The 27,061-nt window shown below is 51.7% G+C and overlaps 1 protein-coding gene across 2 annotated transcripts in view, besides 4 other annotated features; it reads right to left on the bottom strand.

The window, feature by feature from the left end:
* Positions 1,485 to 1,614: a silencer, noted in NCBI's record as "silent region_18279". NCBI's record gives its function as "represses an Ori minimal core promoter by ATAC-STARR-seq in GM12878 lymphoblastoid cells {active_cell/tissue: GM12878}" and the evidence as "EXISTENCE:reporter gene assay evidence [ECO:0000049][PMID:35858748]".
* Positions 12,717 to 13,579: an enhancer, noted in NCBI's record as "H3K4me1 hESC enhancer chr7:73819861-73820723 (GRCh37/hg19 assembly coordinates)". NCBI's record gives its function as "activates a minimal SCP1, AML or CMV promoter by ChIP-STARR-seq in naive H9 embryonic stem cells {active_cell/tissue: H9 hESC(naive)}" and the evidence as "EXISTENCE:reporter gene assay evidence [ECO:0000049][PMID:30033119]".
* The window catches only part of CLIP2 (CAP-Gly domain containing linker protein 2), a 116,529-nt gene continuing 102,642 nt past the window's right edge, over positions 13,175 to 27,061 (bottom strand). For both annotated transcript variants that reach the window (NM_003388.5, NM_032421.3), the window contains 4 exons: positions 21,877 to 22,036; positions 18,555 to 18,740; positions 17,543 to 17,605; positions 13,175 to 15,273 (listed from right to left, as the gene is read on the bottom strand). In NM_003388.5, the coding sequence (NP_003379.4) occupies positions 15,262 to 15,273; positions 17,543 to 17,605; positions 18,555 to 18,740; positions 21,877 to 22,036 (421 nt within the window). In that variant the 3' untranslated portion in view covers positions 13,175 to 15,261. The remainder of the gene's footprint in view (positions 15,274 to 17,542; positions 17,606 to 18,554; positions 18,741 to 21,876; positions 22,037 to 27,061) is intronic.
* Positions 13,580 to 14,444: an enhancer, noted in NCBI's record as "H3K4me1 hESC enhancer chr7:73818996-73819860 (GRCh37/hg19 assembly coordinates)". NCBI's record gives its function as "activates a minimal SCP1, AML or CMV promoter by ChIP-STARR-seq in naive H9 embryonic stem cells {active_cell/tissue: H9 hESC(naive)}" and the evidence as "EXISTENCE:reporter gene assay evidence [ECO:0000049][PMID:30033119]".
* Positions 23,070 to 23,259: a silencer, noted in NCBI's record as "fragment chr7:73810181-73810370 (GRCh37/hg19 assembly coordinates)". NCBI's record gives its function as "represses an EF-1alpha promoter that drives an FKBP-Casp9 reporter gene in an ReSE screen in HepG2 liver carcinoma cells {active_cell/tissue: HepG2}" and the evidence as "EXISTENCE:reporter gene assay evidence [ECO:0000049][PMID:32094911]".

The raw sequence follows: 27,061 nt of genomic DNA, 5'->3' as shown, positions 1-27,061 counted from the left end.
TGTCAATTTAAAAAAAGAGGTTAGAGATATGTTGCGGTGCACACAGAGCACTCCCCTCTAGGGAGAGAGGTGTGAATCAAGTCCCCGATGGGCGCGTCTCTGCAGGCCGTGAAGAAAAAGTGTGTGTGTGTGCATGTGTGTATGTGTGCACAAGTGTGGATGTATATGCATGTATATGCGTGTGTGTATGTGTATGTGTATGTATATTGTTTGTGTGTATATATGTGCATGTTTGTGTATGTGAGTATACATCTCTTTGTGTGTAACGTGTGTATGTGCGTGTGTACCTGTGTACATGTGTATATGTGTACATGTATGTGTGTCTGTGTGTATGTGTATTTGTCCGTGTGTACATGTGTCTGTAGTGTTTGTGTGTCTGTGTATGTACGTGTTTGTGTATGTGTATGAGTTTTTGTGTATGTGTACGTATTTGTGTGTGTCTGTGTACGTGTCTATAGTGTTTGTGTATGTATGTGTTTGTGTATGTATATGTGTATGCATGTGTGTACGTGTGTACATGTATGTGTGTACGTGTGTGCATGTTTATATGTGTCTCTGTGTGCGTGTATATATATATGATGTGTACATGTATGTGTGTCTCTGTGTATGTGTGTATGTATCTGTGTGTGTGTGCCCATGCATGTGTGTGGGTCACTTGGAAAGGCCTGGGGGTGTGGGGTTGGAGGCAGGATCTGAGGCCTGAGCTGGGGGTGGGGGACAGGGCCCAGAGTGTGATGAATATGATGGACCCCAGGCTGCGGACCCGGTGCGGGGCTGTGAAGGTGCTCCTGGTGAACTCCAGGCTTGGGGCTGCTGGGAAACCGAGGCACAGCTGTGCGTGGGGCCAGCTGGAAATTGTGGCAGCGGGAGAGGGTGGCTGGGAGGGGGTCTAGACGGGGCTGGAGCCACCCTGGAGGCAGCAAGTCCTTCCCTTTGCTGGTAGCTCCAGAGAAAGGGCCCACAGCCTTACCCAAGGTTCCAGAGAAGCTTCTAGAAGTGAGCATCCTGGTTATTCGTCCTATACCATGTTCCTTCTGAATTTACACTGGACCCCAACTTCAGTCTCAAAACACTTCCCAGCCTCTCTTGGGGAGTGGGAGCGGGACCAGGGTGACTGCCCAGCTGAGGTTGGCAAGGGGGACGTGATGGGAGGGTTCAGGACTGAGAAAGTAGGCCAGGGTCAGCTCTGTGGAGGGAGCCCAGCCTGCGGGGAGGGGAGGCAGTGCTGTGCGGGAGGAGGGAGGCCAGGACAGTCCTGGCCCGGCACGGTCCCAGAGAGGGAATGAATGTCCACGCCCTGGCCGGCCTCTCTCCCAGGGATGGAAGTGTGGACACACACGGATACTCACAGAGAGGCCTGAACCAAGTCTGGGAGGCAACAGGGACAGGGAGCTCTGGGACTAGGAGCCGGGACACCTGGGTCCCCGTTGTTGCTCCCACGTGCAAAGCTGGCCTGTGTCTCCAGCCTTGCAGCCCTAAAGCCCAGTCTGGACAGAGGGTGGAATGGACAAGCCGCAGTGAGAGGGCCGAGGGTGACACCTGCTGGTAAATGGGAGGCATCACAGGCAAGACTTGGCTGGTGGGTCTCTTGCCGCCCAGGGGTGCGTGGTGTCACCCACCCTCCAGCCTCCCCTCCTGTTCTTCACCCCAGGACCCCACAAAAGGAGAAGGCAAATGTTTCCCGATCAGACCTGGAGGGTTTGATCAATGTCTCCCTCTCAGGCAGAGCAAAGAGAAGTGGGGCAAGAGAAGTCCCAGTTTATTTTTTTGAGACGGGGTCTTGCTCTGTCATCCAGGCTGGAGTGCAGCGGGGCTCACTGCAACCTCCGCCTCCTGGGCTCAAGCCATTCTCCTGCCTCAGCCAACCAAGTAGCTGGGATTACAGGCGCCTGCCGCCACGCCCGGCTAATTTTTGTATTTTTAGTAGAGATGGGTTTTCACCCTGTTAGCCAGGCTGGTCTAGAACTCCTGACCTCAAATGATCTGCCTGCCTTGGCCTCCCAAAGTGCTGGAATTACAGGCATGAGCCACTGTGCCTGGCTAATTTTTGTATGTTTAGTAGAGACAGGGTTTCACCATGTTGGCCAGGCTGGTCTCAAATTCCTGACCTCAGGTGATCTGCCCTCCTCGGCCTCCCAAAGTGCTGGGATTACAGGCGTGAGCCACCGCGCCTGGCCTAGAAGTCCCGGTTTCTGAGCTTCCCTCAACATGAGACAGACACTGTGTTGGAGGGGGAGGGTTGCAGCAGTGGTTGTCGCCATAACCCCATGCCATGGAGATGCCTTCCAAAGGCCAGTACTGTGAACCTTGGGGCGGAAGGGTCATGAGGACACCCCGCCCCCTGCTTCAGACCACACTGGTTCAATCCCCACCCCCAAAACACTGATGCTCCAAGCTTTATTTAATTTTCCCAAAGCTGGACCCAGGGCCACATCCCAGGAGTGACCCAGAGAAGGATGTCCCCCCAACCCCTACCCAAACCATGATTCCCAAGATGTTCAGCTGTGACCCCTGCCTGGGGCTTATGTTACCACTTTATAGATGAGAAAACTGAAGCTGGGGAGGGAAGGGCTCTGCCCAGGGCCACAGGCTGGTTACTGCCCAAGTCAGAGTTGGAACTTGGGTCTCAGCTGCTGCAAGGTGCTGCCTTTTTTTTTTTTTTTTTTCTGAGACAGGGTCTTGCTCTGTTGCCCAGGCTGGAGTGCAGTGGCACAATCATAGCTCACTGCAACCTCGACCTCCCAGGCTCAAGCAATCCTTCTGCCTCAGCCTCCTGAATAGCTGGGACTACAGAGTGTGCCACTGTGCTTGGCCAGTTAAAAAAAAATATATATATATAGGCTGGGCGCGGTGGCTCATGCCTGTAATCCTTGCACTTTGGGAGGCAGAGGCAGGTGGATCACCTGAGGTCAGGAGTTCGAGACCAGCCTGGCCAACATGATGAAACCCCCCCTCTACTAAAAATACGAAAAAATTAGTTGGGCGTGGTGGTGGGCGCCTGTAATCCCAGCTACTCAGGAGGCTGAGGCAGGAGAATCGCTTGAACCCGGGAGGCGGAGGTTACAGTGAGCCAAGAACGCACCACTGCACTGCAGCCTGGGCAACAAAATATATATCTATATAAAATATTTAAAAATATATAAATATATATAATATTTTAAAAATATATATATTTAAAAATATATAAATATATATATATTTTTGGTAGAGATGGGACTCTCACTATATTGTCCAGGATTGTCTCAAACTCCTGGCCTCAAGCGATCCTCCCATCTCTGCCTTCCAAAGTGCTGGGATTACAGGTGTGAGCCACCACACCTGGCTGAAGCTGCCTCTTGATCACAAATCTACAGTCCTGTGAGTTATAAGGTGGTACTAGGCAATTCACCTACATCAGAATTTATAAAAGGAGGCCCCAGCTGTTGGTGATGAGAAAAAATGAGCGAGGAGAATTGCTTTAGGGCACTGTCTTAACCTCACACTATTGAGGCTCTAGGTGGGATAATTCTTTGTTCCGGGGCTCTGTCCTATGCATCGTAGGGTATTTAGCAGCATTCCTGGCCTCTGTTCCCTACATGCCGGTAGCATGCCCCCGTTGTGACCACCAATAACGTCTCTAGACATTGCTAAATGTCCCCGAGGGGGCAAGTATCCCCGGTTGAGAACTACAGGTTTGGACAGAGCTGTGTGGCGAATCCCACCTTCCAGGCGAGGGTGGGGTTGCCATCCCCCAGCTGAAGCCTCATAGGCGGGGTGGGCCTCCTTGGAGAGCTTGTTATCCCTCCCTGGCAGTGGATGGGTGCCTAAGATTTTAGGTCCTGAATTGAGGCTATGTTTGCGATTCTTTTTTTTTTTTTTTGGAAACAGGGTCTTGCTCTGTTGCCCAGGCTGGAGTGCAATGGCATGGTTATAACTCACTGCAACCTTGAACTCCTGGGCTCAAGTGATCCTCCTGCCTCAGCCTCCCTAGTAGCTGGGACCACAGGCATGTAGCACCATGCCCAGCTTTTTTTTTTTTTTAGATTTTGGGGTCTGGCTATGCTGCCCAGGCTGGTCTTGAACTCCTGACCTCAAGCGATCCTTCCACCTCTGCCTCCCAAAGTGCTGGGATTATAGGCATGAGCCACCGCATCCAGCCTCGCCCACTTTTTGAGAGCATGATGAAGTGGAAGGGCCTGTCCAAGTTTTTCTCCAGTAACGGGCAGGTCAACCCCTACTTGGAGAGGTTTAAGGACAAATTGGGAGAGAAAAATAAAGTTGCTGTTAAGACTATGCCCTGTGAATCCTGCTTGGATCTTTGCCTTTGGCATTCTGCCAATTATATTTTATATAATGTGCGTAGATGTGTATTTCCTTTTATTTTTATTTATTTATTTATTTTTGAGATGGAGTCTGTCTCTGTCACCCAGGCTGGAGTGCAGTGGCACAGTCTCAGCTCACTGCAACTTCCACCTCCTGGGTTCAAGCGATTCTCCTGCTTCAGCCTCCCAAGTAGCTGGGAGTATAGGTGGTGCCACCACATTGGCTAATTTTTGTATTTTTAGTAGAGACGGGGTTTCACCGTGTTGGCCAGGCTGGTCTCGAACTCTGGACCTCAGGTGATCCGCCTGCCTCAGCCTCCCAAAGTGCTGGGATTACAGGCGTGAGCCACTGTACCTGGCCTGGATTTCTTTTTATTTATAATATTTGGAGTTCTTTTTTTTTTTTTTTTTTGAGCTGGAGTCTCACTTTGTCACCCATGCTGGAGTGCAATGGTGCGATCTCAGCTCACTACAACCTCTGCCTCCTGGGTTCAAGAGATTCTCCTGCCTCAGCCTCCCGAGTTGCTGGCATTACAGGTTCCCACCACCAAGTCTGGCTAATTTTTGTATTTTTAGTAGAGACAGGTTTTCACCATGTTGGCCAGGCTGGTCTTGAACTCCTTACCTCAAACGATCTGCCTGACTCGGCCTCCCAAAGTGCTGGGATTACAGGCGTGAGCCACCGCGCCTGGCCTGGATTTCTTTGTACTTTGCATTCACATCTTTCATCAATTCTGGAAGTTTCTCAGCTGTTTCCTCTTTAAATAATGCTTTTCTTCAATTCTATTTTCTTTGCCACCCGATTAGACCTATGTTAGGCTTTTTATTTTATTTATTTATTTTTTTGAGATGGAGTCTCACTCTGTCGCCCAGGCTGGAGTGCAGTGGCATGATCTCGGCTCACTGCAAGCTCTGCCTCCTGGGTTCACACCATTCTCCTGCCTCAGCCTCCTGAGTAGCTGGGACTATAGGCGCGCACCACCACGCCTGGCTAATTTTTTGTATTTTTTAGTAGAGACAGGGTTTCACCATGTTAGCCAGGATGGTCTCGATCTCCTGACCTCATGATCCACCTGCCTCGGCCTCCCAAAGTGCTGGGATTCCAGGCGTGAGCCACCGCGCCCGGCCAAGACTTTTTATTTTCTTTGTGTGTTATTTATTCAACAAATTATTTGTTGAGCATGAATCCAGGCACAAGTCTAGGCATTTGGAATATGTAAGCTCGCCGTGTGGTTTACATTCTAGATTCTTTTATTTTTAATGTTTTTATTTAGAGACAAGGCTTCACTCTGTTGCCCAGGCTGCAGTGAGTTGACATGATTATAGCTCACTGCAGCCTCCAATTCCTGGGCTTAAGCGATCCTCCAACCTCAGCTTCCAGAGTAGCTGGGACTATAGGCATGTGCCACCATGCCTGGCTAATTAAAAAACAAACAAACAAACAAACAAACAAACAAAAAACCACATTTGTTTATAGAGATGGGATCTTGCTATGTTGCCCAGGCTGGTCTATAACTCCTGTGCTCAAGTGATCCTCCCATCTCAGCTTCCCAAAGTGCTGGGATTACAAGTGTGAGCCACTGGGCCCAGCCATCATGCTACTTTTTTTGCATAGCTCACACTAAATAAAGATCATCACCATATCCAGGTTTCTTCTATCCATAATGCTTACAATTTTCAAATGTCTGAGATGTCATGTCTTCTAGATTTTCCTGGAAGAATATTTTCTTTTTCAAAAAAAGGTCTTGTTCTGTCACCAAGGCTGGAGTGCAGTGACACGATCATAACTCACTGCAGCCTCCAATTCCTGGGCTCAAGTGATCCTCCTGCCTCAGCCTCGCTAGTAGCAGGGACTACAAGTGCACACCACCATCCCCAGCTAATTGTTTTATTTTTTTGTAGAGATGGGGTCTCACCATGTTGCACAGGCTGGTCTCAAACTCCTGGACTCAAGTGATCCTCCCACCTTGTCCTCTCAAAGCACTGAGATTACAGGCATGAGTCACTGCACCCACCCCTGGGAGAATATTTCCTAAGAGTGTGCTCTATCTGGGTATTTTTCACTGTGGAACCTCAAGCAGGGTCTGGGGTCTGGGCTGTCTTGTAATTTTCTTTTTCTTTCTTTCTTTTTTTTTTTTTTTGGAGACACAGTCTCACCCGGTCACCCAGGCTGGAGTGCAGTGGCGAGAACTCAGCTCATTGAAACCTCACCTCCCGAGTTCAAGTAATTCTTTTGCCTCAGCCTCCAGAGCTCCAGAGTAGCTGGGACTACAGATGTGCACCATCACCCCCAGATAATTTTTGTATTTTTAGTAGAGACAGGGTTTCGCCATATTGGCCAGGCTGGTCTCGAACTCCTGACCTCAAGTGATCCACCTGCCTTGGCCTCCCAAAGTGCTGGGTTTACAGGCATGAGCCTCCCCGCCCGGATAGTCTTGTCATTTTCTTCAGCCTCAGATGTCAGAATCTTAGTGGAGGCGAGGGATAATAGCAGATAAGAGCACTCTCCAACCTTCACTCATCCCTTTACTAACGCCTTACAGCACAGTGGAACTGCTGGTGAGAAAACAGGAACAGATTGGAGCCCCAATCCAGGCTGATCTTGCTGAACCACAGACCCAGCCAGCTGTTGCTGGCCCCCTAGATCCACATTCAATCCCCTACTGTTTTTTTTTAAAAACAGTTTCACTTTTTTTTTTTTTTTTTTTTTTGTATTTGAGACAGAGTCTCACTCTGTCACCCAGGCTGAAGTGCAGTGGCACAACCTTGGCTCAATGCAACCTCCGCCCCCCCCCGGGTTCAAGCGATTCTCGTGCCTCAGCCTCCTGAGTAGGTGGGATTACAGGTACCCGCCACCATGCCCAGCTAATTTTTTTTTTTTTTTTGTATTTTTAGTAGAGACGGGGTTTTGCCATGTTGGCCAGGGTGGTATTGAACTCCTGGCCTCAAGTGATCCACCTGCCTCAGCCTCCCAAAATGCTGCGATTACAGGCGTGAGCTGCTCCCAGCCCCCGTACAACTTTTAAATCAAGTGACATCAAACAGATTCATTCACCCTCTGCCCACACCCTGCAGTCTAGTGCAGTTGCTCAAACAGTTCTTGGTAGGTTTTTCCTACTTTATTCTGTTAACATGATAAATTGCACTGATTGAGTTTTTTCCCTGAAATTATTTGAACCATTAAAAATATTCATTTATTACTGTTCCAAATTGTATTCCTAATACACTTTGGTGTTATTGTTATTTTTATTTATTATTATTATTATTATTATTATTATTTTGAGATGAAGTCTCGCTCTTGTCCCCCAGGCTGGAGTGCAATGGCACGATCTCAGCTCACTGCAACCTCCGCCTCCCAGGTTCAAGCAATTCTCCTGCCTCAGCCTCCCAAGTAGCTGGGATTACAGGTGCCTGTCACCACGCCCAGCTAATTTTTGTATTTTTAGTAGAGATGGGGTTTCACCATGTTGGCCAGGCTGGTCTCAAACTCCTGATCTCAGGTGATCTGCCCGCCTTGGCCTCCCAAAGTGCTGGGATTACAGGTGTGAGCCACCATGCCCGGCCTTTGATGTTATTATTAACAAATAATAATTTTTCATACTGGTATACATGTGAAACCATGGCAACTATCATAATGTAATTTTTTTTTTTTGAGACAGGGTCTCACTCTGTTGCCCAGGCCGGAGTGCAGTGATGAAATCATGGCTCACTGCAGCCTTTAACTCCTGGGCTCAAGCTATCCTCTCATTTTGGCCTCCCAAAGTGCTGGGATTACAGATGTGTGCCACCATACCCGGCTAGATTTTCCTTTCCTCCTTCCATCCCTCTCTCCCTCCCTCTCTCCTTCCTTTCCTCCCTCCCTCATTTTCCTTTTCTCTCTCTTTCTCTCCTTCTCTCCTTCTCTCCTTCTCTCTTTCTTTCTTTTAGACAAGGTCTCACTCTGTTGCCCAGGCTGGAGTGCAGTGGTATGATCACAGCTCACTGCAGCCTCAATCTCCCACACTCAGGTGATCCTCCCATCTCAGCCTCCAAGGTAGCTGGGCATACACCACAGGCATGCACCACCACACCTGGCTCATTGTTTCCCCCCATGGAGTCTTGCTCTGTCACCCAGGCTTGAGTGCAGTGGTGTGATCTCAGCTCACTGCAACCTCTGCCTCCTGGGTTCAAGTGACTGTCGTGCCTCAGCCTCCCAAGTAGCTGGGATTACAGGCACCCGCCTCCATGCCCTGCTAATTTTTAAAAATATTTTTATAGAGAGACAAGATTTCACCATGTTGCCCAGGCTGGTCTCAAACCCCTAAGCTCAAGTGATCTGCCTGCCTCGCCCTCCCAAAGTGCTGGGATTATAGGCTTGAGCCATGGCGACTGATCCGGCTAATTTTTAATATTTTGTAGAGATGAGGTCTCACTGTGTTGCCCAGACTGATCATGAACTGCTGGGTTCAAGCAATCCTCCCCCACCTCAGCATCCCAAAGTGCTGTCATTACAGGCATGAGCCACCATGTCCAGCCTTTTCTTCTTTTTTTAAGTTTCCTTGTTAGTAGACAAGGATAGCTTTCTTTTTCTTTTTCTTTTTTTTGAGACAGTCTCATTCTGTCACCAGGCTGGAGTGCAGTGGTGCGATCTTGGCTCACTGCAACCTCGGCCTCCCGGGTTTGAGCCATTCTCCTGCCTCAGCCTCCCTAGTAGCTGGGACTACAGGCGCCTGCCACCACGCCCAGCTAATTTTTGTACTTTTAGTAGAGACGGGGTTTCACTGTGTTGGCCAGGATAGTCTCGATCTCTTGACCTTGTGATCCGCCCGCCTCGGCCTCCCAAAGTGCTGGGATTACAGGCAGGAGCCACAGCGCCCAGCTTCTTTTTCAGAAAGTATCTTAGTGAGGTGAAGGGCACATAACGTTAATTTAATCACTGCATAGAGGCCCTAGTACATTTACAATGTCATACAGCTACCACCTCTACCATTTCCTTCCTTTTTGTTGTTTTTTACTGTTTCTTGGTCAGGTGAATTCCAAAACATTTCCATCACGCAGTTCCTCACCATTTTTTCCTTAGCCCTTGGCCTCTGGCAATCGGCAATCTGCCTGTTCTCCATGGATTCGTCTTTGTGGATATTTCACGTAAGTGCAATCATATAGTACGTGACTGTGTCTCCCTGTTTTCACTTAACAGGATGCTTTGGAGGTATATCCATGTTGTAGCAAATATCAGTGTTTCATTCTTTTTTTTTTGGTGGGGGGGCAGACAGAATCTTGCTCTGTCGCCAGGCTGGAGTACAGTGGTGCAATCTCGGCTCACTGCAACTTCTGCCTCCTAGGTTCAAGTGATTCCACTGCCTCAGCCTCCCAAGTAGCTGGGACTACAGGCGTGCGCCACCACGCGTGGCTAATTTTTTGTATTTTAGTAAAGATGAGTTTTCACCATGTTGGCCAGGATGGTCTCGATCTTATGACCTTGTGATCTGCCTGTCTTGGCCTCCCAAAGTGCTGGTGGCTTGAGCCACTGCGCCCGGCCCATTCTATTTTTTTTTTTTTTTTTGAGACGGAGTCTCGCTCTGTTGCCCAGGCTGGAGTGCAGTGGCGTGATCTTGGCTCCCTGTCACCTCTGCCTCCCGGGTTCAAGCCATTCTCCTGCCTCAGCTCCCTGAACAGCTGGGATTACAGACCCACACCACCAACCCAGCTAATTGTTTTGTACTTTTAGTAGAGATGGGGTTTCACCATGTTGGCCAGGCTGGTCTCGAACTCCTGACCTCAAGTGATTTGCCTGCCTCAGCCTCCCAAAGTGCTGGGATTACAGGTGTGAACCACCACGCCTGGCCGTTTCATTCCTTTTTATGGCCAAATAATGTTCCATTATATGGATAGACCACATGTGGTTTATCCATTTGTCTGTTGATTGGACCTTTATTTCCACTTTTTGGCTATTACAAATAATGCTGCTATGAACATGTGTGTACACAATTTTCTGTGGAAATGCTTTAATTTATCTTGAGTATATAGTTAGGAGTAAAACTTCTGGGTCATATGGTAATTCTGTGTTTAACATTTTGGGGCTGGGCATGGTGACTCATGCCTGTAATCCCAGCCCTTTGGGAAGGGTGAGGCGGGAGGATTGCTTGAGCCCAGGAATTTACAACCAGCCTGAGCAACAAACATAGTGAGACCCCTGTCTCTAAAAAAAAAAAAAAAAAAAAAAAAAAAAGTAAACAAACATACTTTGAGGAACTGGTGCAGTGGCTCACGCCTGTAATCCCAGCACTTTGGGAGGCCAAGGTGGGTGGATCACTTGAGGTCAGGAGTTCAAGACCAGCCTGGCCAACAGGGCGAAACCCTGTCTCTACTAAAAATACAAAAATTAACTGGGTGTGGTGGCACACACATGTAATCCCAACTACTTGGGAGGCTGAGACAGGAGAATCACTTGAACCTGGGAGGCAGAGGTTGCGGTGAGCCAAGATCGTGCCACTGGACTCCAGCCTGGGCGACAGAGTGAGACTCCGTCTTAAAAAACAAAACAAAACAAAACATATTTTGAAGAACTGCCGAACTTTTCTGAAGCAGCTGCCCCATTTTACATTCCCACCAGCAATATATGAGAGTTTAAATTTCTCTACATCCTTGTCAACACTTGCTACTATCTTTTAAAAAGTTTTAGGCATCCTAGTGGGTATGAAGTGGTATCTCTTTGTGGTTGTGATTTGCATTTCCCTAATGACTCATGTTGTTGAGCATCTTTTCATGTGTTATTGATCATTTGTACATCTTCTTTGGAGCAAGATGTATTCAGATCCTTTACCCATTTTGATTTTTTTATTTTTAGAGTTGGAGTCTCACTCTGTGGTCCAGGCTGGAGTGCAGTGGTGTGATCATGGCTCACTGCAGCCTCAAACTCCTGGGCTCAAGCGATCCTCCTGCCTCAGCTTCCCAAGTAATTGGAACTACAGGTGCATACCACCAAACCCAGGTAATTGTTTATTTATTTTTATTTTTTATATATTTTTTGAGATGTAGTCTTGCTCCGTTGCCTAGGCTGGAATGCAGTGGCGCGATCCTGGCTCACTGCAACCTCAGTCTCCCAGGTTCAAGCGATTCTCCTGCTTCAGTCTCCCAAGTAGCTGGGATTACAGGCGCACGCTACCACGCCTGGCTAATTTTTGTATTTTTAGTAGAGACAGGGGTTTCACCATGTGGACCAGGCTGGTCTCAAAGTCCTGACCTCAGGTGATCTACCAGCCTCGGCCTTCCAAAGTGCTGGGATTACAGGCATGAGCTACCATGCCCGGCTTTTTTTTTTTTTTTTTAAAGAGACAACGTTCTTGGTATGCTACCTAGGCTGGTCTTGAACTCCTGGGCTCAAGTGATCCTCCCGCCTCGGCCTCCCAAAGTGCTGGGATTATAAGCATGAGCCACCTGGCCCAATGTTCGTTTTCTAGTTTGGGTCATTGTACTGCAGTTATGTGCGATGTTAATGTCAGGGGGAGCTGGGAAAGAATGTATGGGAATGCCACTATTTTTTGCAATTATTCTGTAAGTCTAAAATGATCTCAAAATCAAAGAGTTAAAAAAGAGTTGGGCAGGCGCAATGGCTCATGCCTGTAATCCTAACACTTTGGGAGGCTGAGGTGAGAGGGTTGTTGGAGCCCAGGAGTTGGAGGCTGCAGTGAGCTATGATGGAGACTTTGCCTTCCAGCCTTGGTGACAGAGCAAGGCCCTATGTCTAAAAAAAAACAAAAACAAAACAACAACAACAAAAATGGCAGGTGCAGTGGCTCATGCCTATAACATCAGCACTTTGGGAGGCCGAGGCGGGCGTATCACTTGAGGTCCAGAGTTTGAGACCAGCCTGGCCAACATAGTGAAACCCGGTCTCTACTAAAGATACAAAAATTAGCTGGGTGTGGTGGCATGTGCCTGTAGTCCCAGCTACTCAGGAGGCTGAGGCACAAGAACTTGGGAGGTGGAAGTTGAATTGAGCTGAGAACGCGCCACTGCACTCCAGCCTGGGCAACAGAGTGAAACCCTTGTCTCTACAAAATAATAATAATAATAATAATAATTTTAAAGAACACATTTTGAGGAACTGATGTGGTGGCTGACTCCTGTAATCCCAGCACTTTGGGAGGCCGAGGTAGGCAGATCATTTGAGGTCAGTAGTTCAACACCAGCCTGGCCAACATGGTGAAACCCCATCTCTACTAAAAATACAAAAATTAGCCAGGTGTGGTGGCACGCACCTGTAGTCCCAGCTACTTGGGAGGCTGAGGCACGAGAATTGATTGAACCTGAAAGGCGGAGGTTGAAGTGAGCAGAGATCGTGACACTGCACTCCAGCCTGGGTGACAGAGTGAAACTCCATCTTGGGGAGAAAAAAAAAATTCTCATTCTCTCTTCCAGGGGGGCAACCTCCACTTGAAAGCCTATTTGACCACAAAGTTTGCAACACGTCGTGCTGTTGATCTGATCTCCGGAAAGCCTGCTGCGGGAACCGGAATTTGCCCACTGAAGCTGGAAACCGCCTCGGACTCATCACACGTGTGTGAGCGGATCCGTTACCGTTTCCATTGACTTTTTTTGCAGGTCTACTTATCCCTCCAGCAGGTTCAAATGTGAACCCAGGACCAGCCCTCTCTGGCAGCCTTTCTGGGTCTGTCCTCTGCCTGTCCTTGCTAAGGTGCCTCTCCTGGGACAAGGACAGCCCCAGATGTCTTCAGCTCCAGCCCCTCTGAGGCCGTGCCTACCTGGGAAGGAATGAGCTGGCAGAGGGCAGGATCGGGGGCCATCTCCTGGCACCAGGGTGCCCAAGAATTGGGAGAGATCGAGAAGCCCGGGGTCCCCACGGAGAGGAGGAGACAAGCCAACTGCCGGGGTCCTGGACCTGTCACAAGCTTTATTGTCCCGAGCACAGACTCGCCACACTTCAACAATTCCACTGTGGGGAGGGGAGGGGTGAATGAAGGACCTGGGGAGGGGACATGGCTGAGCCACACCCGGGCGGCCACACGGGGCGGGCTGAGAGGCCCACGGAGGCAGAAGCTCCCAAGGAAACCGCTTCTTGGACACCCGTCACCAGGAGCCCACCTCCGGGGGCTCAGCTCCTCCCGGCACCCTGCTAGATGGACCTCTGGCTGTTAGTAGACTAATCGGTGCCCCTACCGATGGGGCAGAGCTGCCTGATTTTGCTAGAAAGAGCTGTATTTGACCCTGGGTTAGGCCACTAAAGCATCGCTTCTAGACGGCTGTTAATAGAACTGCATGCGAGAGCTACCGAAAGCCAACAGGGACTGGGAGGGGGGCCGGGGGGACTGACTGTGACTCCCCGATGGGCTGCATTTGGGCAGGAACGTGAGCGCCACCTACCTGTACCAGGTGGCACTCATGAGGGCGATCTGGGCCGTTCCTATGAATTGCACACGTGTCCTGTGCGTTACGGGAAAGCCGGGATGGGGCATCGGGCTTCTCCCTCTGGTCCACTGATGGGGGAGGCCTCACAGGAAAACACTCCCTGAGCTGCCGGAGGGTGGGGCAGGGACCCCTGTGCTGATGCCGGGGTGCAAAGCTGTAAGCAACCTGTTGGTCCCCCAGCGGCGAGGTGGAGGCTGCAGGGCCAAGGCTGGCTTTTTCCACCACGCACAGGCCTGGGATAACTTAGCAGGCTTGAGGGGAAGATGGCAGGGCGAGGGGTTGGGGGAGCGCAGTTAGATTTCTCTTACCCCCAGCCCCCGTTAGGAGATGGGGCTGGAGACGCTCTGTGCAGGTGCCTGGCAAGACCAGGAAGGGATGCTCCATGTGGCAAACACACCCCTGAATGCCTGGCTGCGTGTACTTGGGTGTGTATACGCACCTCTAGGCTGTAGGAACGTTTGCAGTATCTGTAGGCACGGTCCTGCCAGGCCTGGGTCTCAGTCCCAGAAACCAAGTATGTGTCTCTGTGTGGCCTGAGCGTGGTTCACAGCAAACGCCGCCACCCACACGGTCATGCGTGCACACGTGGTCCCTCTGTGTGTGTGTGAACGTGGTGTGTACATAAGGACCCACTTAGCTGCATCTCCAGGTGGATGCAGATATTTTGGAACATCTGGTCAACCCCAGGGGAAACCGTATTACTGACCTTTGTCAAACCTGCCTAGAGCCTCCACTCTGAGCTGCCTCTGCCCTGGGCTCCGAGCCAGGGTTTGCCCAAGGTCACGGTGGGAGGTGAGGAGAGGGGTTTCCAAACCTTCATAATACTGTGTCTTTGGCCTTGGTGACATCTTCGGCCAGCAGCTTAGAGGTGTGTGTGTGTTGGTGTTGGTGGGCAGCGGGAGAAGGATCCCGTTCCCCTGCCCTCCGCCCCCGCCAACACCTTGAACCTGGGGGCCTCGCTGGGCAGGCAGGCTGGCTGAGGGGAGCTTGTACTACTGTTTGAAGAAGGTTCAGAAGGTGGGGACAAGAAGCCCTGGCGACTGCCTTGGCCTGGAAGTGGCTTCGGAAAAGGGGCCCCCACTTGGCTCTTAAAGACTGGATGCTCCCCCTTGGTGTCTGCATGGATAAACTTACCCCCTCCCCAGCCCCCGCCGGCCCCTCTGGGGAGACCCGAGGGAGAATGGGCGGAAAAAGAGGACAGGGCCGCTAAGATGGTCCTCAGGGCAGCTCCTTCTGGACAGAGGGGCCTGGCCGGATCCCCTCTGCCTCCACTGACAAACTCCAGAAGCTGCCGGGTGTCCAGGCTGAAGGTCCCCGGGTCAGGCCGGGGCTGTACCGTTCACACTCTCTGTAGAAGGCTGGGCTTGAGGAAGCGTCCTGGTCTGGCGAGGGATCGGGGTGGGGGATTGTCCGCGGCGGTGAGTACGTTATTGTTACAAACACTGTTTTGTCTCCAAAGTGACAGTCCCGGCTCCTGCCTGGAGGAGGTACTGCCGGGCAGCCGCGTGGGGCTCTGGTGTGGACTGGGCTGCTCCACAGTATCCCCTCAGGATCAGTGCTTGTCCTAGAGAGAGTAAAGGGCATCATCAGCAAGGGTCTCAGAGAGCCTGGAGGGCCAGGCGGCCAGAGGGGAGTCAGGGAGGAAAGGAGTTGGGGCCGGGTGGGGGAGGAGCATAGAGCGAACTGCATGTGCCAAGGCCCTGAGGCAGGAAGTGTCTCCCTGCTGTGTGTTTGTGGCTGTGTGAGACAGCAGGTGGGGTGGGAGGTGCTGATGGGAAGCGGAGCCGAGGGGAAGAAGCAGGTTTTTTGTTTGTTTGTGTGTTTGTTTGTTTTAAGACGGAGTCTTGCTCTGTCGCCAGGCTGGAGTGCAGTGGTCTGATCTCAGCTCACTGCAACCTTCGACTCCCTGGTTCAAGCGATTCTCCTGCTTCAGCCTCCTGAGTAGCTGGGATAACAGGCATGCGCCACCATGCCCAGCTAATTTTTGTATTTTTAGTAGAGATGGGGTTTCACCATGTTGACCAGGATGGTCTTGATCTCCTGACCTCATGATCCACCCACCTCGGCCTCCCAAAGTTCTGGGATTACAGGCATGAGCCACTGCGCCCAGCCAGAAGCAGGTTTTACAAAGAGCCCTCAGTGCCTGTACGGGGCTGGATCTCTCTCTCTTTTTTTTTTTTTTTTTTGAGACAGTCTCACTGTTGCTCAGGCTAGAGTGCAGTGGCACGATCTTGGCTCACTGCAACCTCTGCCTCCCGGGTTCAAGCGATTCTCCTGCCTCAGCCTCCCGAGTAGCTGGGACTACAGGCATGTGCCACCACACCCAGATGATTTTTTTTTTTTTGTATTTTTAGTAGAGATGGGGTTTCGCTATGTTGGCCAGGCTGGTCTCAAACTCCTGACCTCAAGTGATCCACCTGCCTTGGCCTCCTAAAGTGCTGGGATTATAGGTGTGAGCCACTGCACCTGGACAGTTTTCACATCTGTGAACTGGGATGACCCCATGTGTCTCGCAGGGTGGCCAGGAGAACAAGGCCAGGAGGACAAAATCACACTAACTCCTCTGAGGCTGGCTCTGCCCACATAACCCTGCCTGTGTCTGGAGCTTGGCAGATTCTGTGGCTGTGCTGCTCCTGTTTCTAGCGAGCATCTGTGCTCCAGGGATTCTGCAGTCAGAACTAGGTTCTCTCTCTTTCTGTGTTCTTCTTAGAGACAGGGTCTCACTTTATCACCAAGGCTGGAGTGCAGTGGCGCAATCCTAGCTCACTGCAGCCTCAAACTCCTGGGCTTGAGTGATCCTCTTGCCTTAGCCTCCTGAGTAGCTGAGGCTACAGGCATGCGCCACCACACCTAGCTAATTTTTAAAATTTTTATTACTATTTTTTGAGACAGTTTTGTGCTTGTTGCCCAGGCTGGAGTGCAATGGTGCGATCTCGGCTCACTGCAACCTCCACCTGCCAGGTTCAAGCGATTCTCCTGCCTCAGCTTCCCGTGTAGCTGGGATTACAGGTGTGCGCCACCCTACCCAGCTAATTTTGTATTTTTTTTTTTTTTTGGTTTTTTTTTTTTTTGAGATGGAGTCTCGCTCTGTCGCCCAGGCTGGAGTCCAGTGGCGCGATCTCGGCTCATTGCAAGCTCCGCCTTCCGGGTTCATGCCATTATCCTGCCTCAGCCTCCAGAGTAGCTGGAACTACAGGTGCCCGCCACCACGCCCAGCTAATTTTTTTTTGTATTTTTAGTAGAGATGGGGTTTCACCGTGGTAGCCAGGATGGTCTTGATCTCCTGACCTTGTGATCCGCCCGCCAGATGGAGTTTCACCATATTGGCCAGGCTGGTCTCAAATTCCTGACCTCAAGTGACCCACCGGCCTCGGCCTCCCAAAGTGTTGGGATTACAGACATGAGCCACTGTGCCCAGCCTTTTTAAAATTTTTTTTTTTTAATAGAGAGAGGGTCTCGCTATATTGTCCACCCTACCCGGCTAATTTTGTATTTTCAGTAGAGACGGAGTTTTACCATATTGGCCAGGCTGGTCTCAAACTCCTGGGCTCAAATGATCCTCCTGCCTTGGCCTCCCAAAGTGCTGGGGTTACAGGCGTGGGCCACTGCGCCCAACCTATAACTTTTTTAAGAAGGGAAGAAAACACAAATCAAAAAGAGCAGGGTGAATCTGGAATCAAGTTTGCCTGCAACAGCACCCTCCCTGAGGGACCCTACTGTAAAGCTTCTTGCAGAATGCATCTTTGTGTGTATTCTTAGTGACGTTTCAAGGATTTTCTCCAGAGAGGTCTGCCTGCACGGGAGGGACCTGGGAGGCCCGAGGCGCCCCTCACCTCTTGTTTCTGAGCTTTGTCCTGCTGGTGGATGCCGTTTGCAGAACCGGAATTGCCGATGGTCTGGAAGAGTTAGGGGAGACACTGAGCCAGGTGCACCAGGCAGCAGTTCCCGATTTTCCCACTAGATGGCGAGGTCTTCCCATGGGACCGTCTCAGGCTCCAAATTCCAACCCCTTCAGCCTGGGGCTCCCAGCACCCCCAAAGACCAAGCCTCTAGGGGTAAGGCTGCATCTTCCTTCTTAGTCTAAGCTCCTCAGGGCAAAGCCATGTGCCCCTTGAACTGGGGGTTCCAGAGGGCAGGGCTCCCTCCCCTTTCAGCTGGGTTCCCAGGACAGAGCTGCCTCCCGCTTTAGATCAGGGTTCCTGGGCCAGGGCTGCCTCCCATTTCTGATGGAGGTTCCTGGGACAGCGCCACCTCCCCCTTCAGACCAGGGTTCCCGGGACAGAGCTGCCTCCCCCTTCAGACCAGGGTTCCGGGACAGAGCTGCCTCCCTCTTCAGATCAAGGTTCCCGGGACAGAGATGCCTTCCCTTTCAGACTAGGGTTCCCAGGACAGAGCTGCCTCTCCCTTCAGATCAAGGTTCCTAGGACAGAAATGCCTCCCCCTTCAGACTAGGGTTCCCGGGACAGAGCTACCTCCCCCTTCAGACCGGGGGCTTCTGGGACAGAGCTGCCTCCCCCTTCACATCAGGGTTCCTGGGACAGAGCTGCCTCCCCCTTCAGACCAGGGGTTCCCGGGACAGAGCTACCTCCCCATTCAGACCCGGGTTCCTGAGACAGGGCTGCCTCCCCCTTCAGACTGGGGTTCCCAGGACAGAGCTGCCTCCTTCTTCAAACCAGGGTTTCTGGGACAGGGCTACCTCCCCCTTCAGACCAGGTTCCTGGGACGAGCTCCCTACCTCCTCAGACTGGGGTTTTAAAGACAAGGCTGCCTCCCGCATCAGACGGGGGCTCCGAGGACACTGCCCCGTGGCTTGCCTCCTGGTGGGCCCTGTCAGCCGCGGCTCACCTGGGCCTTGTCAGGGCAGCTCCTCATGGCCTCCATCAGCTTCTCCACCTGCTGAGCCTGGTCCAGCGCATCCCGCAGGGCGTCCTCCGTGCTCATCAGCTGGTGCTGCAGCCGCAGAAGCTCGGGCGCCGAGGACCGGTCGATGAGGGAGTAGCGCCTCTGATCCGACAGGGATTTCTCTTTGTCCTGGAAGTGGCAGGAGAGTGGAAGAGTACATGAGTGTGCGTGTGTGTGTTGGTGGGCGTCTCAACTCTAGGCAGGAAAGTCTTCCAGCCTCACTTTGTCTCTGGGTTCCAAGCCTGGGCATCACCCAGAGGTCCCTCAGGCCTCTGTGAGGTGCTCCATGGTCTCCAAGTGGGGAACCCAGGACCCCATCCCTCTTGACTTTTTTTTTTTTTTTTTTTTTGAGACAGAGTCTCGCTCTATCACCTAGGCTGGAGTGCAGTGGCGCGATCTTGGGTCTCTGCAAGCTCCGCCTCCCGGGTTCATGCCATTCTCCTGCCTCAGCCTCCTGAGTAGCTGGGAGGGGCCCACCACCACGCCCCGCTAATTTTTTCCTATTTTTAGTAGAGACGTGGTTTCACCGTGTTAGCCAGGATGGTCTCAATCTCCTGACCTCGTGATCCACCCGCCTCGGCTTCCCAAAGTGCTGGGATTACAGGCATGAGCCACTGCGCCCAGCCTTGCCTTTAAAAATAATTAAAAAAAGAGACAGAGACCGAGCCTGGTGGCTCACGCCTGTAATCCCAGCACTTTGGGAGGCCGAGGCAGGCAGATCACCTGAGGTCAGGAGTTCGAGACCAGCCTGGTCAACATGGTAAAACCCCATTTCTACTAAAAGTACAAAAATTAGCAGGGTGTGGTGGCTCACATCTGTAGTCCCAGCTACTCTGGAGGCCTAGGCAGGAGAATCGCTTGAACCCGGGAGGTGGAGGTTGCAGTGAGCCAAGATCATGCCACTGCACTCCAGCCTGGGCGACAGAGTGAGACTTGGTCCCCACCCCCCCCCCCCCAAAAAAAGACTGAGTCTCACTCTATTGTGCAGGCTGGAGTGCAGTGGTGCAATCACAGCTCATTACAGCCTCCAATTCCTGGGCTCAAGTGATCCTCCCACCTCAGCCTCCCGAGTAGCTGATACTGCAGGGCATGCAACCACACTTGGCTAATTTTTAACTTTTTTTGTAGAGATGCGGTCTTGTTATGAGGTCCAGGCTGGTCTCGAACTCCTGACCTCAAGCCATCCTCCCAACTTGGCCTCCCAAAGCAGTGGGATTATAGGCATGAGCCACCGCACCCAGCACCCTTCTTCTTACACTGCCCCCACCCAACTGTCTTATGAGGTTCCTCCTCTCCATAGTCACCCCCACCATGGCACCCAGAGCTGTACCTGCCCCAAGGCCCGCCAGCCTCCTCGCTCCTGCACAAACTCCATCCTTCAGCACTGCCCAGTCCTGCCTGCTCTGACCCTCCAAACCACCTCCCAACAGAACCTCCATCCTGAAATCAAGAGGCTTCTACCCACACACCAAGGCTTCCCAAGTTCTCCCGTGGACACAGTGCAGGGAGATGATGAGACAAGAGGCTACCCTGGGGCAGAGGCCGCCACTTCCCAAGTAAACTTGACCAATCTGTGCCCCATGGGCACCAGTCTGAGCTCAGCACTGCGCACTCCTACAAGGCTCTAGGGAAGCCCCTGGGGGTATTCAAGACTCCCCAGTCCGTGCCAACCCCAGGGGCTTATCTTCTGTTGAGCCACAGGGACCACAGAGGGTGCAGCCACCAACCCCTGCTAGCCAGATAGGCCAGGACTTGAAGGCCGGCAGGACTCAGTGACCCCCACAGCCACAGTCTGGGTGTGTGGCCAGAGTGATGCTCTTTATCCCGGAACCCTGAGGGCCAAGGGCCTACTCCCGGATATAGGGGGTCGGTGGCGCTGAGGCCCTCCCTCCAGCCTGTGAACCACCCCCTTGCCCAGGGCTGGGCCCTGCTCTCCTTCCATCACCTCTACAGTGGCTGAGCCCAATGTCTGGGCAGGAGGGTGGTGGGGGGCTTCAGGACAGCTTTCCCAGGCAAGGGCCTGTCCTCCTGGACCCCACGCCCTCCATATCGTGACGTTCACCAGGCTCAGGCTTGTCCTGAGTGCTCATCACAGGAGGATGGGATGGGGATGGGGTGGTTTCTTTATTCTTTTTTTTTTGAGACAAAGTCTCACTCTGTCGCCCAGGCTGCAGTGCAGTGGCGCAATCTCAGCTCACTCCAACCTCCGCCTCCTGGGTTCAAGTGATTCTCCTGCCTCAACCTCCCAAGTAGCTGGGATTACAGGCACACTCCACCATGCCCGGCTAATTTTTGTATTTTTAGCAGAGATGGGGTTTCGCCATGTTGGCCAGGCTGGTCTCGTACTCTTGACCTCAAGTGATCCGCCTGCCTCAGCCTCCCAAAGTGCTGGGATTACAGGTGTGAGCCATTGCGCCTGGCCAAGGGATGGGGATGGTCCTGTGCTATGCTACCAGCATCACCTGCCTACCCCAACCCGTCTCTGCAGACTCAGTGAAGTCAGGTTCCTATTCATAATAGAAAAGAAATCTCGACCGGGCGCAGTGGCTGACACCTGTAATCCCACCACTTTGGGAGGCCGAGGCAGGAGGATCACAAGGTCAGGAGTTCGAGACCATCCTGCCTAACACGGTGAAACCCTGTCTCTACTAAAAATACAAAAAAATTAGCCAGGCGTGGTGGCGGGTGCCTGTAGTCCCAGCTACTTGGGAGGCTGAGGCAGGAGAATGGTGTGAACCAGGGAGGCAGAGCTTACAGTGAGCTGAGATCGCGCCACTGCACTCCAGCCTGGGCAACAGAGCGAGACTCTGTCTCAAAAAAAAAAAAAAAAAACAAAAAAAACTCAGCCACCCAGAATCCCAGGCTTGCTGTAGACTTTCAAGTTCTTGTCTCCTTCCTGAGACTGATGTGTGAAGCCCCACTGCAGGACCCTGAGCAAGGAACTGGCTTGTGGTTGATTACTCCTCTGAACAGGGAGCTCTTTACCTGTATTGGCTCATCCTGCCTCTGGACAGGTCAGATAGGAAGTTTTCCTTTGCACCGTATCACACAGACTGCCACATAGGCAGCCATGATGTCTGCAAAAGCGGCTAGCCAGGGTCCCTCCACCTGCCTGTGGTCCTAGAAGATTTCAAATCCTCACCATGACTCAGCTGTCCCTGGGGTCATTCCAGGAGGTCTCCAGTCTCCATGGCCTGACAGCAAGGCTAGCCCAGCCCCACCCGGACTAGTGCCCCTGCCCCTAGGCCACCCCTACCCCACATACCAGCCCGGTCAGCTTTTCACGCAGGCCCCGGATGTCATCCTTGAGTTTCTGCTCCTTGATCCGCCACTCAGCCTTGTGTACCTCACGGCTCAGGTCCCTCTCCGGCCCTGGGGAGTGACGATTGGCCTCCAGCAGCAACACCCGCAGTTCGTTCAGGCTCCTGGGGGTGAGGCGGGCACAGAACCACTGCACTCAGCCCTGGCTCCTCCAGCTCCCACACTCTAGCAATTTGCCAAGTGTCCAGGGGCTGACCAACTGGTGGGGGACATGGGCTACTAGATGGCATCTGTGCCACGAGGGGCCACAGTAGACACAATTCAACCAAAGCCCAAGAGGGGCCAGGATTTGGGGCTGGGATGGTCCTGAGGACTTGACCTTTCCTAGAGTACTTTTTAAAGTTGTTGTGGGGGGAGTGCAGAGCACAGTGGCTCACGCCTGTAATCCCAGCACTTCAGAAGGCCGAGGTGGGCGGATCATTTGAGGTCAGGAGTTTGAGACCAGCCTGGCCAACATGGTGAAACCCCATCTCTACTAAAAATACAAAAATTAGCCAGTCGTGGTGGTAAGTGCCTGTAATCCCAGGTACTCGGGCAGCTGAGGCAGGAGAATCACTTGGACCTGGAAGGTGGAGGTTGCAGTGAGCCAAGATCGTGCCATTGCACTCCAGCCTGGGCAACAGAGCAAGGCTGTCTCAAAGAAAATAATAATAAATAAAATTTTTAAAGAAAAGACAATATATTTGTTTAATTAAAACACACACACACACACACACATAACCCCAAAACATTTACCCAAGAAATCTCATGAGGCAAGACATTTTATCTATTTTTAAAAAATAGAGACAGGGTCTTGCTATGTCGCCCAGGGTCATCTTGAACTCCTGGCCTCAAGTGATCCTCCCGCCTTGGCTTCCCAAAACGCTGGGATTACAAGTTTGAGCCACCACCCCTGGCCAGCAAGACATTTTAAATACCTGATGTCAAATGGGTTTTATCTCCCATGTCACCTCTTAATCAACTGACAGGATCTACCTGGAGTACTATGATGATAATGGTTCTGAGGCCACATTTGGGGTCTGCAGGAAACAGTGCAGTGATCGATTGGTAATGCCTGCCATGGGCATAGGCAGGAGCACATGCACCCCTATGCCCTAGCGTTTTCCCTTGCCTGCAACTACTACAGAGGGGAAAACTCCCTTACTAGGTGGCCACGGGTAGAGAACAGTGGAAATCTGCTGGCACAGCTCCCTTCCCTTTCCTCCTCCTTTCTGCTATGATGTATGATGTGATGGCTGGACTTTCAGCAGCCACCTTGCAATCATGAGGCGGGGAGCACTGCAAAGGTGTTGGCACTGAGATCTTAAGCTCCTGAACCAACTGCCAGTCACAGCTACCTCCAGATTTCTTGTTATGTAAGAAAAGGAAATCTCTGCTACTTTAATCTGCTGTTTGATGGATGTGACATCACTGTCACCAAAGCATTCCTAGCTGATCTCCCACCTCCATCCTAAGCACTGCAGGAGTGTGGAGGAGCCCACGGTGGCCTGTATCAATCAAGAAAGGCTTCAAGGAAGAGGTGACAATGTGCTAAGCCCTGAAGAATGAACTGGACTTAGCAAACTGGCCAAAAAGAAGGTATCTCTGGCCAGGCATGGTGGCTTATGCCTGTAATCCCAGCACTTTGGGAGGCTGAGGAGGACAGATCACCTGAGGTCAGGAGTTTGAGACCAGCCTGGCCAACATAGCAAAACCCTATCTCTACTCAAAATACAAAAATTAGCTGGGTGTGGTAGCACATGCCTGTAATCCCAGCACTTTGGGAGGCCAAGGCGGGCAGATTACTTGAGGTCATGAGTCAAGACCAGCCTGTCAACATGGTGAAACCCCATCTCTACTAAAAATACAAAATTAGCTGGGCGTGGTAGTGCATGCCTGTAATCCCAGCTACTTGAGAGGCTGGGGCAGGAGAATTGCTTGAACCCAGGAGGCAGAGGTTGCGGTGAGCCAAGATTGCGCCACTGCACTCCAGCCTGGGTCACAGAGCAAAACTCCGTCTCAGAAAAAAAAAAAAGAAGAAGAAAAAGAAGGTATCCTAGAAGGGAGGAATCTCATAACTGATGAGAACTGAAGGATGGAAGGAGGCTGTTGACAGCTGTTGACAGCAGGGAGACGGGGATGAGGCCAGGCTCTGGGAAAGAGGAAATGTGGCTTCAGATGACAGGGAAAATTCAGAGACAATGGATAAAGACCCAAAACTCCAGAAAGTTCTATCGAGACTCAGCAGAGGGGCATCCTGTGGCTGAGACAGGGCAGAAAGCTTCCTCGGAGAAGGTGAGACCAGGCAGGGCACCAAGAATAACTTTTCCACTTAGGATGGGAGACAGGGGAGGGAGGGCAGCCCTGGAACCCTGGCCAGGGGCCTGGCTGGTTTGTTCCTACTGGAAAAGGCACAGGCTGCATCTGCAGAGGGCAGTGTTGTTCTGGAAAATTCCTAGATTGCCTCATCGCATCTGTTTCCCTCCTGGGCAGGGCTACAGTTTCTAGAAAGGTGTTAGATTTGTAGCAAATGTAGCTAGAGCAACTCCTAATCTGTATAGAAGGAAAGGAGATGGCATTTCTTCTTTTACAAAAGGATGTCTGTGCTTCAAAGAGATTCCTTTAACTCGGGTTGAAATGCAAATGCTGGGCCCGGGGCGGTGGCCCACGCCTGTGCTCCCAGCACTTTGGGAGGCCGAGGCAGGTGGATCACCTGAGGTCGGGAGTTTGAGACCAGCCTGACCAACATGGAGAAACCCTATCTATACTAAAAATACAAAATTAGCCCGGCATGGTGGCGCATGCCTGTAATCCCAGCTACTTGGGAAGCTGGGGCAGGAGAATTGCTTGAACCCAGGAGGCAGAGGTTGCGGTGAGCAGAGATTGTGCCACTGCACTCCAGCCTGGGCAACAAGAGCAAAACTCCATCTCAAAAAAAAAAAAAAAAAAAAAATAAGAAGAAAAAGAAGGTATCCCAGAAGGGAGGAATCTCATAACTGATGAGAGCTGAAGGATGGAAGGAGGCTGTTGACAGCTGTTGACAGCAGGGAGACGGGGATGAGGCCCTCTGGGAAAGAGGAAATGTGGCTTCAGATGACAGGGAAAATTCAGAGACAATGGATAAAGACCCAAAACTCCAGGAAGTTCTATCGAGACTCAGCGGAGGGGCATCCTGCGGCTGAGATAGGGCGGAAAGCTTCCTCGGAGAAAGTGAGACCAGGCAGGGCACCAATAATAACTTTTCCACTTAGGATGGGAGACAGGGGAGGGAGGGCAGCCCTGGAACCCTGGCCAGGGTCCTGGCTGGTTTGTTCCTACTGGAAAAACACAGGCTGCATCTGCAGAGGGCAGTGTTGTTCTGGAAAATTCCTAGATTGCCTCATCGCATCTGTTTCCTTCCTGGGCAGGGCTACAGTTTCTAGAAAGGTGTTAGATTTGTAGCAAATGTAGCTAGAGCAACTCTTAATCTGTATAGAAGGAAAGGAGGTAGCATTTCTTCTTTTACAAAAGGATGTCTGTGCTTCAAAGAGATTCCTTTAACTTGGGTTGAAATGCAAATGCTGGGCCCGGCAGAGTGGCTCACACCTGTATTCCCAGCACTTTGGGAGGCTGAGGCGGGTGGATCACCTGAGGTCGGGAGTTCGAGACCAGCATGACCAACATGGAGAAACCCCATCTCTACTAAAAATACAAAATTAGCCGGGCATGGTGGCACATGCCTGTAATCCCAGCTACTCATAAGGCTGAGGCAGGAGAATCACTTGAACCTAGGAGGTGGAGGTTGCAGTGAGCAGAGATTGTGCCACTGCACTCCAGCCTGGACAACAAGAGCAAAACTCCATCTCAAAAAAAAAAAGAAATGCAAATGCTGGGCCCAGTGCGGTGGCTCATGCCTGTACTCCCAGCACTTTGGGAGGCAGAGGCAGGCAGATCACTTGAGGTTAGGAGTTGGAGACCAGCCTGGCCAACACAGTGAAACCCTGTCCCTACTAAAAATTAGCTGGGCATGGTGATGGGCGCCTGTAATCCCAGCTACTCGGGAGGCTGAGGCAGGAGAATCGCTTGAACCCAGAAGGTGGAGGTTGCAGTGACCTGAGATCGCGCCACTGTACTGCAGCCTGGGCAACAGAGTAAGACTCCGTCTCAAAAAAAAAAAAAAAAAAAGCAAATGCTTACAGGGGCTGGGGAATTGGGAGTAAGAAAAATAATGAAGGGAAAGTGGGGCCTCCCCAGGAGACTCAGGGGGCCCACGCCCATCAGAAGGGGGCAGGGGCTCCCCAGCTATGATGGGGTGATCGCCATGCTGGAAGTCTGTCCTGTGTTGTTAGGTCTTGCCATTTGTTATTTTTTAAAATTGTGTTTATTACTATTATTATTTTTGAGACAGAGTTTCACTCTTGTTGCCCAGGCTGGAGTGCAATGGCACGATCTTGGCTCACTGCAACCTCCACCTCCTAGTTCAAGTGATTCTCCTGCCTGAAGTAGCTGGGATTACAGGCGTGCTTCACCATACCTGGATAATTTTTGTATTTTTAGTAGATATGGGGTTTCATCATCTTGGCCAGGCTGGTCTCGAACTCCTGACCTCAGGTGATCTACCTGCCTCGGCCTCCCAAAGTGCTGGGATTACAGGCGTGAGCAGCCACCACACTCAGCCTTTTACTTATTGTTTTTTGAGACAGGGTCTTGCTCTGTCGCCCAGGCTGTGGTATGATCATGGCTTACTGAGTCTCCACTTCCTGGGCCCAAGTAATCCTACTACCGCAGCCTCCTGAGTAGCTGGGACCCACAGGCGTGTGCTCCACGCCCAGCTATTTTCTTTTCTTTCCTTTTCTTTTTTTTTTTTTTGAGATGGAGTCTCACTCTGTCGCCCAGGCTGGAGTGCAGCGGCGTGATCTTGGCTCACTCCAAGCTCCGCCTCCTAGGTTCACGCCATTCTCCTGCCTCAGCCTCCCCAGTAGCTGGGACTACAGGTGCCCACCACCAAGCCTGGCTAATTTTTTGTATTTTTAGTAGAGACAGGGTTTCATCGTGTTAGGCAGGATGGTCTCGATCTCCTGACCTCGTGATCTGCCTGCCTCGGCCTCCCAAAGTGCTGGGATTACAGGCGTGAGCCACTGCGCCCAGCCACGCCCAGCTATTTTTCTATT

This window comes from Homo sapiens, chromosome 7 (assembly GCF_000001405.40).
Source record: "Homo sapiens chromosome 7, GRCh38.p14 Primary Assembly".
Taxonomy (NCBI): domain Eukaryota; kingdom Metazoa; phylum Chordata; class Mammalia; order Primates; family Hominidae; genus Homo; species Homo sapiens.
This window is presented reverse-complemented; position numbering and strand designations above follow the sequence as displayed.